This window comes from Homo sapiens, chromosome 8, assembly GCF_000001405.40.
Source record: "Homo sapiens chromosome 8, GRCh38.p14 Primary Assembly".
NCBI lineage: Eukaryota > Metazoa > Chordata > Mammalia > Primates > Hominidae > Homo > Homo sapiens.
Genome location: NC_000008.11, coordinates 3,537,044 through 3,552,298, shown reverse-complemented (window position 1 = coordinate 3,552,298; position 15,255 = coordinate 3,537,044). Strand labels below are relative to the sequence as shown.

The 15,255-nt window shown below is 40.7% G+C and overlaps 1 protein-coding gene across 3 annotated transcripts in view, besides 1 other annotated feature; it reads left to right on the top strand.

The window, feature by feature from the left end:
• Nucleotides 1-15,255, top strand: part of CSMD1 (CUB and Sushi multiple domains 1) — a 2,059,554-nt gene that overhangs the window by 1,442,616 nt on the left and 601,683 nt on the right. The window lies entirely within an intron of this gene.
• Nucleotides 13,310-13,810: an enhancer, noted in NCBI's record as "H3K27ac hESC enhancer chr8:3396011-3396511 (GRCh37/hg19 assembly coordinates)". NCBI's record gives its function as "activates a minimal SCP1, AML or CMV promoter by ChIP-STARR-seq in naive H9 embryonic stem cells {active_cell/tissue: H9 hESC(naive)}" and the evidence as "EXISTENCE:reporter gene assay evidence [ECO:0000049][PMID:30033119]".

Below are 15,255 nucleotides of genomic sequence, written 5' to 3'. Positions count from 1 at the left end.
TGTGGATGATGCATATTTAGATTAGTATTCAAGCTTTCTGTGTCGATACACTTTTTTGTAATTTCCTCAGCCCTTTTTTCTAAATCAGAATGTTGTCTTTTCCACAGACAGTACTCTGTTTGTGCAGAAAATCTCACCTCTTTCTCTTAGAAGATGGGATGAATTCAAAGTGCCTCCATGTAAAGGAGATTTTTTCCTCTCATTGTTCAAAGAATTTTACCATTTGTTTTCACAATACAGAACATGCATCTGCAAAATCTCTATTTTTTAAACATTTGCTATGAAACTTCTCGAGTTCCTGTTTCTGCCACTGTGAGATCCCTATCAGTCCTCAGCTCCCACAGTGGCAGCCTCATCTTTCAGTAGCTAAAACCACGTCTGGACTGACACAGGTACCACATGCCACACTCAGCATGATCACATTAAAGACACAGTGGCAGCCTCATCTTTCAGTAGCTAAAGCCACGTCTAGACTGATGCAGGTACTGCATGTCACACTCAGCATGATCACATTACAGAGAACATCATATTATCGCAGCTTGTCACGGACTTTAGTATACAAGTGATATGACAGACTACAATGACTATTTCTCATCATCAGTCATGTCTTTATTACATAGAGTAAGAAACTATACACTGGCTTGGTATTAAATGAGCACCGGAAAGAACATAATGTATCTTCAGAAAAAAAAAAAAAAAAAATATATATATATATATATACATATTTATTAGAAGACAATTCTGAAAAGAGAGCTTTACCAATATAGAAGCAGTGGTTAGGGACGTAAAGGGTCTTATCAAACAGTCACAATAAAAGTTATGTATTTGGTAAAATATGTTCTTTTCTCCTTAGCTGTCAGTGTGCAGATTAGTTAATTCCAGTTTACTGCAACCTAAAGCATTTACCCCCTGCATCTACTCTTAGGCTTAAAACCAATGACTCACAAACTCTAAAGTGTGTGTTGGCTTTCAAAACATTCACATATTGATATAGAGTTTGGATATGACAGTCCTGTAGTACAGAAAATATGCCACAAGATATTAGTTAATATTTCTTGAGAAATTTACATGCTTTAGAAACTTTAAGTAATTATGTTCATTATCTCACTGAATCTTTGAACGCCCTATGCCATAGGCTACATTAGTGTTTCCTTTTTAAAGATAAGAAAACTGAATCACAAAGAGGTCAAGTCTACTCTCTTAACTGCTACCTTGTTCTGCCATGAGCTCTCACAGCATGGTGAGAGTGGCAATTACATTTAGATTTAGGCTGATCCTGACTAATGCATTGCTGGAGAGTTTTGAGAAAGGGGTCTGACTGTTCACTTCAAGTTGAGTAGTGGTTTGTCATCTGATGAGAGAAAAGCAGAGACACATTTGCATGATGCCATACTCCTATTTTCGAGTGGAAGCAGAGATTGGCAACATGGGAATGCATATTGCATACACCCTATTTACCCATATATTTACTCTTCCATCCAACAAGTATTCACGAGGTGCCTGTCTGTGACCCAGGAAGGATGTGGGAATATGTGGTGCAAGCCTGGTTGGCCATGAAGCTTCTTTTCAAGGAGGTGCAAAGTGGAAAATAGGCAAGCAAACAAATAGCAAGATTTCAGGTGTCATAGCAGCTAAGGAAAGCAAACCAGTAAGAAAGGAAACAGCACTAGGCAAAGGGGTGGAGACTGATGAGGTCAGAGAAAGGAACTTAGGGATGATGCACCCATAAGATAAGTGTTTGAGATGCTGGATGTGCTAATCACCCTGAGTGAATCACTACACCTTATATGTATGGAAACATTACTGTGCACCCCATCGATATGCACAGCCGCCATGTGTCAATTAAAAAACTTTTAAAAGATTATATTGAGGGCTGTCTGCTGAGCCATGCCTTGGAGGTTGTGAAGATGGGGAAGGAGGAAGATTGGTCCAGGCGGGGTCAAGGCCCTGGAGTAGGAATGAGTTTGCTGTGTCCAAGAAATGCCAAAAAGGTGGGAATTATTGGAGAAAACAGGAGAGGGCAGCCATAGTGGCCTGGTGACAGGTGGTGAGACATAGGATGTATTCTAAAGGAAGAGACATTGGAATGCCTGCTGATGGGCTGCATATGGGAGAATCGGGATCAAAAGGTGAAGCATGGCTCCTAGATTTTGAGGCCACGTGCATGGGTGATCCCAATGGGACACTTTTTTATCGGCTCTGTGCTTTGCTTTCTTTTTTCTTGCCTTTTACTTAGAATGATTTTCAATATGAAACAAGAAAAATCAGAGTTAAATGTAAGAAGGTGGTCATTAAAACATAAGCAACACATATATTAACTCTTTATGTCTAGATCCAAGATACCTAATTATTTCAATTGCCTGAATTTTCTTTCAATAAATCTGCTTGTTGACTTATTTATTCAAATTACATTTGTTACACTTGGAGCATATGTTACTCCACTGTCTGTTGCTTGTAACAGAATACCTGAAATTGGGTGGTTTATAGAGAAAGGGAGTGTATTATTTACAGTTGTGGAGGCTGAAAACTCAAAGTCAAGGAACTGTATCTGGGGATCGCCTTCTTGCTGGTGGGAACTTTCTGTAGAGGCCCAAGGCAGCACACGGCGTCCAGTGTTGAAGGGGGCTAGCTAGATTTCTCCTAGATTTCTCCCATCATGCTAGCTGAGGTTTCTCCTCCTGTTTTTAAAAAGCCACACTCTCACAATAATCCAGTAATTCATTAACAAATTAATGCATTAATCCATTCATCCATGAATGAATTTATCCATCCAAGAAAGGAGAGCCCTGACGACCCAAGCTATTCTTAATGGTCCCATCTCTCACTGCTGCGACATGAGGGGCTGAGTTTCCATGTGAGCCTCAAAGGCCATAAACATTCAAAGCATAGCCTCCCATCATCAGGCCAGAGTAGAATAAGGCCTAGATCTGTCTATCTGAGACCACTTGGCCTAGAACAGAAGCTGGTGAGCTTGCCTGTAAAGGGCAAGATAATAAATGGTTTAGATTTTGCAGGACACACAGTCACTGGCACACTTCGCCTTTGTGGTCTCCACAACCCTTTCAGAACATAGAAACCATGCTTATGAGGCTTTACCAAGAAAACAGGCACAGACTGGATGTGGACCGTGAGCTGTAGTTTGCAGACACCCAATCTAGAAGCAAAGCAAACATGGAAGCGGGCATCTGCATGGCAATGTGTGGCTCTGAGATGGAGGCTTCAGCAGAGGGAAGTGGGGTTGATATCAGGGATGGCTTCGAGGAGCAGGTCTTCCTTGAAACAAGGCTAGAGGGTGAGGAAACCCAGGTATATTGGGAGGGGTGTCTGCAAGAGCAGAGTTAAGACAGGACAGGCACAGGAACACGCGAGAACTTAGTGTGTGTGACCACCAGGTGAGAAGGGGAGGATGTGGACTCGGGGTAGGGAGCGGGACCCAGCCCAGGGAGCACCCTGCCTGCCCTCCTAGCAAGGGTGGCTTTGCTCTGAAAGGGCTTAGAAACCTGAGAAGGTGGTTAAGCATGAAAACAACTTGGCCGGGCTTACTCTTTAGAAACAACCCAAATTCCTATCAATCAATGAGTGGAAAAAGAAACCATGGTGTGTGTGTGTGTGTGTGTGTGTGTGTGTGTGTGTGTGTGTATGATGGAATACCACTCAGCCGTGAAAAGGGTTGAATTAATGGCATTCATAGCAACCTGGATGAGATTGGGGACTATTATTCTAAGTGAAGTAACTCAGGAATGGAAAACCAAACATCGTATGTTCTCATTCCAAGCAGGAGCTAAGCTATGAGGATGGAAAGGCATAAGAGTGGCAGGGTAGACCTCGAGGACTCAGGCAGAAAGGGTGGGAAGTGGTTGAGGGATACAAGACTACAAACTGGGTGCAGTGTATACTGCTCAGGTGATAAGTGCACCAAAATCTCACGAATCACCACTGAAGAACTCGATCACGTAACCAAATACCACCTGTTCCCCAATTACCTATGGAAATAAAAAATAATAATTAAATAAGCATTTTAAAATAGACAAGGGCTACAGAGAGTGAGGAAGGGCAGAACTGGGCACTGAGATGGCTCCATCAGCCCTTGTGGCTTGAGGAAGGCAAAGGAATCCTAGGTTGCAGGAACCCCCCATAACATTGTTACATGTACCGATAGAGTCATACAGCAATAATTATCAGTGCTCTTCTGAGCACGGTATTTTTTTTGGTGGACCTATTTATTTTGGTCAAAATACTGTCCTACTTTCATGGGGTGGTTACCCCTCTCCAGGAAGTTTATAAACTCATTTCCTTTCTTTTAGTTATTTTTTTCTTTACCATATCCAAATAGGTTGAAGTTGTATCGCAAATTTCTACTTTATGACATCAGGATATGGCATGGTGCATGTAGTAATTTTAGGAGTACTTCTTATTCTTAAAATGACATTTTAAAAAATGACCTAGCGAAATTCCTTTTAAAAAACTTTGTTTGCATGTCTTTAATCATTTTATTTTCTTTTCATAAATCTTAAAGAGCAACAAGAAAAACACAACACATTTCTATTAGATAACTAGCTCAAGCCAAAATAAGATCTATTGTTTTTCATATAGGTAGGCTTAGTAGATTTAACTCCAAAGAAAGGTTGTAGTATATTTAAATTAATATTACTTACAAACCCACTTTATTAACAATACAAAATAGTAAACTTAATATTTAAATAGTAAAGCAATGTAAATAAAAATAAAGCCTAAAACTCAATTTTGTATGAGACTTTGGAAAAATATTTTCTTATTTGAGAGACGTGATCAGGCATAAATATATGCTCAGAAGTTGGAAAACATTACGGACAATCATTGACCTACTGATCCGTTTATACATCTGTATATGTACAAGAAGTAGTGTTTTAAAAACTGAATCAGTTTTACCTCTTCAGTGTGGAAACTAAATGGTTTTGATATTTTTCGACCGTACAAATTTTACATTCTCACTTAGAAACTGAAATAAGCACACATTCATTTCATTTTCTTGTCGAGTATGACTTTCTGTCTTTGTTCTTGGTGCTCATAACACAAGAAGAGGCTTGCTCACTTATTTAAGGCCGAAGTCAAAGCCATGTGGCCCTGTTTTCTTGTGTAAGACAAGGTATTCATCTTTGCCAAGCCCAGAGCTTGTCCAGGAGCCTGTGTGAATGGCAGCATGAGGGTTGGCCAACCTGTAGCCCACGTTATTGGTCCTGCTGTCTAAGTCAGGTCTCCAGCTAAACAGCAGATTCAGAGAAGGGGCCCTGACCAGCCCCACATCTGTGGACAGGAGGGGAGACGCTGTTCAGTTTTGCTCTTCCCTTCTTCCAGGAGGTTTTCAAAACAGCTCAAGACCTCTGATATCCTCCCTCCATCTAAACTCAAGCAGCAGTGGAAACATTTTCACAGTTTCCCTTGCAACATCGTTTTTCCAATATTTCACCTTCCCTTTCATTTCAGTAATAACATCACTGGAAGTAAATGATGTTCTTCAGGGAGCTGCAGAATCCTGTTCAAAAAGTTCATGTCATGAAACACAACTGTGCAGGCTGATTTCTGCAGCTCCTTTTATCTTCAGTAATTCCTACATTGATTGAAGATTTGTCCAGCTGTTTATACAATCTTTACCCATTGATGAGTAATTTTTTTTTGTTTTATAATGTTAATCATTTTGCAGTATTATTCAAAACTTTTGACAATTGCTCAGTACTGTGAGGAGAACAATGTATGGTGACAGTATCAGGATTTTTTTTTTTCTTTTTTTTTGGAGTCTCACTCTGTCACCAGGCTGGAGTGCGGTGGCAGGATCTTGACTCACCACAAGCTCCGACTCCCTGGTTCAAGAGATTCTCCTGCCTCAGCCTCCCAAGTAGCTGGGACTACAGGAATATGCCACCAAACCCAGCTAATTTTTTGTATTTTTAGTAGAGATGGGGATTTCATCATGTTTGCCAAGATGGTCTCGATCTCCTGACCTCATGATCCCCCCACCTTGGCCTCCCAAAGTACTGGGATTTTTTTTTTAATAATAGAGGAAAAATTCACGTGGCCAGCCATTGAGGGCACTATCTGCATAGAACCTTACACAATTTCTCTAAGATGAAGTGTTTTTTTCCATATATGAAGACAAACAAATACATGATGACCTTTGCTTAGTTGAGACACCTATGCACAGCAAAACATATTTTCTTGGATTTTACTGCTATTTACATTTGTTAGCAAGGGCTGTTAAATGTCAACTTGATGGAGAAACTGCATTTTGGTTTATTAGAGAAATCTTTCTCAGTGTCATGTGACTCATCAATATGTTGACTAATTGTTTGGCTTAGGAGCTAAACCTTTCCAGTTTCTCCCACTGCACCCTGTCCTAGCATTCCCCACTATGCATTCACTATAATTTTATTGCTACATCACTAAGTTTGCACCAACTGCTTGACTTTGCTTTTTGTGGCCAATAGACTCTGCTACTAAATAACTTGCTTCCTGAGCCTTTTCACAGAATGTGACTATTTTTTTAACAAAAGCTTATCTGTATTTGAGATTCCAGTAGCCCTTTAAAATAATCAGCACCATTACTTGTCAAATGGCTGTGATTCGCAGTTAAGTGTCCTCAATTTTGCCAAAGGCAGTGTCTGTAAGTTGTCCACCGCTGATGATGCACCTGAATTGCTCAACTTGGGTTACGGCAGTGGAGAGCCCATGATAAGTAGCCTTCATGGTAAAGACAGGATTCATTTGTAGTCTACATCACATTAGAGTGGTGAAATTATACCGAACAGTATGATTCTTTATCACTCACCTCTTCAAAATTGTCTGTAGACCTAGGCCTGGAAAATTTACCTTCTGTTTTGCACCTGCTTTTCAGAAATGGCCACCTTGGACCATCAGACATCACAATGGCTGTTTATGTTTTACAGCTGTTTTGTAGAAGAATATGTTAAGTATTGGAATAAAGCTACCAGTTTATGTAGTACTATAGAGAATTCTAGGGATAAAAGCAACTTTGAAAATCATGAAGACCATGTCCTTCTTTAAATCAGAAAAGTTCATAGACACATACATATATACACATATAGACAGACACATGGAAACAATATTCTACCTCCTGCTCTTTGCTAAGTGTAGAGTCCTTTACTGTAATAGATTGCAAGTAATGACGGAGAAAGAGAGAGACGATCTGCTTTGATACCTGTCCTAGGTTTTATACTTTGTTAAGGTCATGGAAAAGTTTGTATTCAGGAAATACCATATTTGAAATTAACTTTATACTGTCCTGATAAATTTCCCTGAGAGAAATTTCATAAAAGGAACAAAAATGAAGGATCAAGTTGACACATGAGAAAGAAGAGATCTAAGATATTTAAGATACTTTCAGATTAAACATTAAGTTGGTATTAATTCATAGAAATAACCATATTGACATTTTACTTACTATAGCTGTAAGGCATCTTGGACTAGCACGTGTCTTGTCATCTCCTGCTTGTCTTCATATCTTTTCTCATTAGAGAAAAGCAAACAACATTTCTAAGATTTGGCTCCATTCCCTGTCTCCACCCAGCATCCTGGTCTCCCTGAACCCCGTCTAGTCAAGCTTCTGTGGCTCCTGCCCACTGAATAGCTCCAGGCAAGTCTGCAGTGGTGGCCAAGCTGTCAGATTGGACGGTCCGTTCCCAGGGCCCCCGCCTTTGTTACTGGAAAGGGATCCCAATCCAGACCCTAAGAGAGGGTTCTTGGATCTCATGCAAGAAACAATTCAGGGCGAGTCCACAGTGCAAAAGCAAAGGCAAGTTTATTCAGAACGTCAACTGGGAAAGAGCAAGCTACTCCATGGACAGAGTAAGGCGTTCCCGAGAGTAAGAGAAAGAACGCCTCCATCCCAGGTAAAATGCTTGTTCGTATATAGGATGAAAAAAGATCAGGGGAGATGTTCTTTGCTACAAGGGTTTGTGATAAAGGATTAATTTTCTGAATTACTATATTTTGCAAGAATCTATATTATTTTCTTTAAAGCAAAATTAAGAACGCTCTTTTTTCAAGGTATCAGGATGTCGGGGCACTTTTAATTTTGGGTCTGTTTAGTAAACGTTATCAATCTCTTCCCTTAACCATGAACCTCTAGAGGCTAGGAATACATAACTTTCTAGGGATGCAGCCCAGCACGTCCCAGGCTCGTTTTACCAAGCCCTCACTCAAGATGGAGTCGCTCTGGTTCAAACACCTCTCACACCTTGGCCTGTGGTTAGCACTGGACACTTCACCTGTGGAAGACTGTTTTATTACCTACTTAGACTCTGCTTCTTGATCCCCTTCCTATCTGACTCTTTCTGCTTTCTCAGTTGCTTTGCTTTGGCCACTTCCTGTCTCTTCCTGTAAACACTGGAGTTCTCAGGGTCCTCCACATCCTCATTTTCTTCATCTGTCCTGACTCTGATCCTGCAGCTTCAAATACAATCCATCTGCTAACCTCTACCAAAATGTTCCTATTCAGACTCTGAACTCAGACTGCAAACAGTGAATTGTCCACATGACATCTCCACTAAGTGTCCAACAGACATCTCAAACACAGCATGTCTAAAAGCAAACTCTGGGTCTCCTCTACAAAACCTGTTCCTCTCACACTCTTTTCTTCTTAGAAAATGGCAATTCTTTTTTTTTTTCAGTTATTTAGGCTGAAAATTATTATACTTATATTTAATCCTTCTTTTGTTCTCATACCCCACATTCATCAGCAGACCCATACACTCTGTTCATTTTCCATCATGTTGGGGATCCAGCCATCCTCCCATTTCCACAGTTAATTGCCAGTCTCGGCAATCATCACTGCTTGCCTAGATTATTGCAAATCTCTCCTAACTCATTTCTGCCCTTCTGCACTTGCCCCTGTTCATTCTGTTCTCAACACAGAAACGAGTGATTATTTTCAAAAGTCAGTTTATATCTCTAGTTTGCTCAAAATCCCCAGTGACTTTTCACCTCACTCCCTAAAAACATAAATTATTCTAATAATGTTCTCCGATGTCCTCTGTAAAACATGCCTCACCTCTGCTCTACGTCACATCCTGGGCTTCTCCCACCTCCCTTGCTGCTAAGACTTACCAGTTTCTCAAAAGCATCAAGCATGCCTGGGTCTCAGGGTATTGACTTTTGTCCTTCTCTCTGTCTGGGATCATCCTTCAGGATGCACAGATTTGCTCACGATGCATGAAGCAGGTTCCCTTTGCACTGGTTGTCAACTTGTCTGAGCCCAGCGAGACAGAACACACCCACAAACAGCAGGTGCCATGAAGTGGGATTTTACTCACAGATGGGCAGCAGGGAGGAAGAGGAGCCCCATATTCACTGCCAGCGGGTCCCCCAAGTCTCAGGAGAGCTGCCTGGGGAGGACGGTGTCTCCACCGCATGAGCCCCACTTGCACCGTAGCTGAGGGACACGGGAAAGCAGCTCTCCCTGGGCTTTGTACCCCAGGGTTATGGATCTTGCTTAGCTAAAGCATCGAAGGATATCCTGTCCTGGGGAAAGACTGGAAGAGAGTCCAAGCTGTTCCATTCAGCTCCTTCTTACCTCAACCTACAGCATCCCCAGCACATTTGACAGTTATTCTTGAGACATTTGAGCAAGAATAGGGGGAGAAACACATCTGAACTGTCCTGTGTTACCTCCTATGTATCTCCATACAGCATAGAATTCAAGGAGGCCAGGCCTGCTCACAGCACGTACGCTCTTTCCTGTCTATAACCCTGTTCCGTGTTCCTTCCCAGTCCCTGCCAGCATCTGACACAGGATGTAGTCACTGATTTATTGCTTTTTCCCTGCCTGAGAAAGAAAGCAAGGTCAGAGACTGTCAGTTTCATTCCCTAACGCACATCCAATCGTAGAACGGTATCTGGAACAGGGTAGGTGCTAAAATATATTTGTAAAATAAAATAACTAATTACCTATCTTCAGAATTGAAGATTCTGAATGAACCATCTGAATGATTGAAGATTCTGAATGAACCATCTGAATGAATGAACCATCTTCAGATGACATAAAAGAGTAAAGAATTTATGACAGTATGTCACAAATAGTCATTGATTAATAAGAGGTAAGTATCAATATTAAGGTCAAGCAAGACTCTTAGTTTTGAAGTATTTTGTAATAATGTAACTTTAAAGGGATTTCCATAGGAAATAAAAGAGTCTCTGTTGAATTTTTTAAAGACTATAGAGCACAGTAAAATAAATAATACGGGTGCACATAGGTGGAAGTAGATAATTAACAACAAATATTTTTTCCTTTTTTTCGAAATGGAGTCCCTGTTGCCGAGACTGGAGAGCAGTGGCTCCATCTAGGCTCACTCCAACCTCCACCTCCTGGGTGTACAAGCCACCACGCCCAGCTAATGTTTGTATTTTGAGTAGAGATGGGGTTTTGCCATTTTGGCCAGGCTGGTCTCGAACTCCTAACATCAAAGTGTTGGAATTGCAGGTGCAAGCCATCATGCCCAGCACAAATTTTTTGTTTTTTAAAAAGAACAGCTGTAGTTGATATTATTTTGTTTATATATATTTATATAATATTTTATAATTTTTAATTGTTGATAAAGAAAAATGAATTTTCTGAACTAGTACTAATTATAGGGTGTCCAAATAAAATATTTTGATTAATTTGATTAGTGAAGAACGTCTACCTGTAAAAATCATGACCCATTTTTAGAGTATTTTATTTTTATTTTATTTTTTATTATATATATTTAATTTATTCTCATATTTTTTTAATTTTTATTTTGAGTTCCAGAATAGATGTGCAGGAGGTGCAGATTTGTTATTTCGGTAAACATGAACCATGGTGGTTTGTTACACCTATCAACCCATCACCTAGGTATTAAGCCCCACACGTATTAGCTATTCATCCTGATGCTCTCCCTCCCCAGCTCCCCTCAACAGGCCCCAGTGCATGTTGTTCCTTTCCCTGTGTCCATGTGTTCTCATTGTTCAGCTCCCACTTATAAGTGAGAACATGCAGTATTTGGTTTTCTGTTCCTGCATTACTTTGAGGGTAATGGCTTCCAGTTTCATCCATGTTCCTGCAAAGCACGTGATCTCATTCCTTCTTATGGCTGCATAGCATTCCATGGTGTATATCTACCACATTTTCTTTATCCAGTCTGTCATTGATGGACATTTGGGTTGATTCCATGTCTTTGCTGTTGTGAATAGTGCTGCAGTGAACATACATGTGCATGTATCTTTATAATAGAGTGATTTATATTCCTTTGGGTATATACCCAGTAATGGGATTGCTGGGTCAAATGGTATTTCTGGTTCTAGATCTTTGAGGAATCACCACACTGTCCTCCACAATGGTTGAACTAAGTTACATTCCCACCAACAGTGTAAAAGAGTTTCTGTTTCTCCACAGCCTCGCCGGCATCTGTTGTTTCTTGACTTTTTAATAATTGTGATCTGACTGGCATGAAATGATCTCATTGTGGTTTTGATTTGCACTTCTTTACTTATCAGTGATGTTGAGCTTTTTTTCATGTTTGTTGACTGCATGGATGTCTTCTTTTGAGAAGTGTCTGTTCATGTCTTTTGCTCACTTTTTAATGGGATTGTTTGTTTTTTTTCTTGTAAATTTGTTTGAGTTCCTTGTAGATTCTGGATATTAGCCCTTTGTCAGATGGATAGATTGCAAAAATTTTCTCCCATTCTGTAGGTTGTCTGTTCACTCAGATGATAGTTTCTTTTGTCGTGCAGAAGCTCTTTACTTTAATTAGATCCCATTTGTCAGTTTTTACTTTTGTTGTAATTGCTTTTGACATTTTTGTCATGAATTCGTTGCCCGTGACTATGTCCTGAATAGTATTGCCTTGATTTTATTCTAGGGTTTTTATAGTTTTGGGTTTTACATTTAAGTCTTGAATCCACCTTGAGCTGTACTTGATTTTAAAGGAGATTCTGTATAGGGCACTGTTGTGATGCAAGATTTCCAGGTATTTCTAAGAAGAGTTATCACCTATTCAACTCTGTTTGCCAAATGAGGAGGTTGTTTTGCAAGTAAGTTGAATCAGGAAGTGCTGGTTAAAATTCATTGTTTAATAAGCCTAAAACATTGGAATAAGGTTTTTTTTCAAGACTAAACTGTCACTGTGTTACACTCAGTTCAGTTTAATTTCCAAGTATTGAAACTGTGACCGTAAACAAGTCTACAAGCAACTAGAATCACAGAGAAGCCTATTTATGAGCCAATCAGAGATTGCAGTGTGGTGCACACAGCAGCAGACACAACAGAAGCAGCCCTGTTTTACTGGAGATGCAAATATAAGCAGGCTTTAGAAGACTGTTTCTCAAACTAGCTACAATTTATGGGAAACAGAGAAGTTATGGTCTATCCATGAAGCAATTGTGTCTAAATTCAAAGGGAAGCCGTTTTCTAAGTTCGTTTGGTCGAACAAAATTATCCACCAGATTTTCCACGGCACCTTAACACGTCTAGAGTTTTCTTTCCTTTTTTGTAGGCATTTTCTTTCTTGTGTTTTTTTTTTTTTTTATCATAAAGAAAGGGCTAGAGATTCTTGTTTTCAATGTGTGATATGTTTTTAATTTTAAACACTGTTATCCCACACTTGATTTGGTTCTTAGTGGGTGACAAGGTCACCCAACAGTGAGGGATGGGGGAGGGAGCCTTGCTGGGATTTAGAGGGGCAGAGCTGTGTTTCGCTTCAATTCTTGGCGAAGTGTTACAACTTCTGAATCACGCTTTTCCTTGCACGTTTAAAATGAGAACCTTTGTGGGCTTCATAATATAATGCACATGTGTAGCTGTGTTTTAGGCTCTGGAGATGCAGATTAGAACACACATAAACCCAACTGTCATCATGATGTATAATCTAATGGGTGAAGGCATTAGCCTGGAAACAAATAATATGTATATACTTCTTATAGTAAAGGTGTTGCCCAGAAGGCAAAACCAGGAGTAGAGAAAGAGCTGGGATTGGCTTGGGGGTGGGAGGTAGGCAGTAGGGGGAAGACAACCATTTAATCTAAATCCGCCCAGGAGAGAGTGACTGAAGGATTAATGATACACATGAGGCAGCCTTGCGAACATCCTTCCAGACCTAAATTACAGCAAATGCAAGAGCCCTGCGGCCAGAACATCTTGGTATGTGGAAGGGAAAGACAAGCGGTCCCTGCTATCCGCGGGTGCAGGGAAAGGGACTGGGGCAAGACTGTAAGAGACGTGGCTCAGTGATGGAGGAGAGGCCATCTCTGGGTGTTTCAGGCTGTCCTAATGTGTTTGGATTTTATTTTCACTTCAATGAGATGCTGCTGCAGGATTTCTAGAAGGGAGATGCTTTGATGACATTGGGGTCTCACAAACGTTGCTCTGGCGGCTGTGTGCAGCATGGTGTGTAGGTGAAGCAAGAGTGGGAGCAGAGAACAACTAGGAACACTTAGGAAGACCGCAGCAGCACTCCAGGTGAGAGGAGACATTGCCTTCCACCAGGCTCTTGGTGCAAGTGGAGAAGTGTGGCTTCCCGAGTAGGATACATGTAGAGCTGTGTGACTGCTGATGAATCGCAAGTGCACGTGACGGAAAAGGGGCAATCAAAGATGGCAGGCCATGCCACGTTGCTAAGGAAGAAAAGGCCAGTCTGGCAACAAAAAGAGGAAAGCTCTATACCTTTGTTGAGTGGTGGGGAATGGGGCTCACTTTTGTGGGCACACAATCACAGGGGAGGCAACTCAGGTTAGCCAGCTCAAGTGCGGCATCGCAGGCGAGGCATCGCAGGTGGGGCATCTCAGGTGAGGCATCGCAGGTGAGGCATCTCAGGTGTATCATCTTAGGTGAGGCATCTCAGGTGCATCATCTCAGGTGAGGCATCTCAAGTGCACCATTTTAGGTGAGGCATCTCAGGTGCACCAGCCCAGGTGTGGAATCCCAGGTGCATCATCCCAGGTGAAGCATGTCAGTTGCATAATCTCAGATGAGGCATCGCACGTGTACCATCTCAGGTGAAGCATATCAGGTGCACCACTGAAGGTGAAGCATCTCAGGTGAGGCATCTCAGGTGTGCCATTGCTACTCAGTTCCAGCTGATGGTGCTAGTGGGAATGAAATGCAAGGTGTAGTTGATCCGTCATGTAATTTTTCAAGTAAAGATGTAAATCTAGAAGTCCATGTGCAATCGTTTGGTTTATAAACTTGAAACACTCTTTTAAAAACTCTGTGCATAGGATCGGGTCATTGACCATCAGGTTCTGCACATCTAGCATAAAAGGGTTTACCACAGTCTTGTAGGAAAGCCCTTTCTCTAATGAGGATATGATAAATAGAAGAATAAACGATACCCTGAGTGAATAAACAACTTTAATAGGAGAAACACTCATTATTCTCTATCCAAGAGAAGTAAAAGGAACATCAACAATGAAATATGGGAGAAGAGGCTCCTGAATTAATTTAGAAGTATTTATTGTGTCTGTAACATTTGACCAAGTTTGTGCCAAGTGCTATGGATGAGACTCTTTAATTGGTGAAGTGTTCTTGTTTTACTGTCCTAAATAAAATAGTTAAAAACTTTTGATTCTTGATAATGTATGAAGTGATATATGATTTTTGCAAATACAAAGTATTGTAAATGAATATATGTAATTTGCCTGAAATAAATGATGCTACATAAATTTCATTAAAGGAAACACAATTTCCATCATTACATTATCAGAATAATAGAGCTATCTAAAACAAACATGCAAATATTAATGTTTAAAAGAAGGATTCTTTTAGGGGGTTTGTCCAAACATTTATGAACCAATGTCTTAAATTCCTGAGGAAATCACTTTACATATTTTATTATGTTACAATTAGCTAACATATCAATTTTTGGAATGCAACAGGTGTAGTATTTGTGTCTGTTGCATGATAACTTATGATGTATAAAAAAAGTACACTAAACAACAATAAAAACTCATACAGGTGATAGGAATATGAGTCATATAAGCAAGAGTTTGCGGGCCGGGCATGATGGCTCATGCCTGTAATCCCAGCACTTTGGGAGGCCAAGGCAGGTGGATCACAAGGTCAGGAGATCGAGACTGACTATCTTGGCCAACATGGTGAAACCTGTCTCTTAAAATACAACAAATTAGCTGGGCGTGGTGGCGGGCACCTGTAGTCCCAGCTACTTGGGAGGCTGAGGCAGGGGAATTGCTGGAACCCAGGAGGCGGAGGTGGCAGTGAGCTGAGATAGTGCCACTGCACTCCAGCCCGGC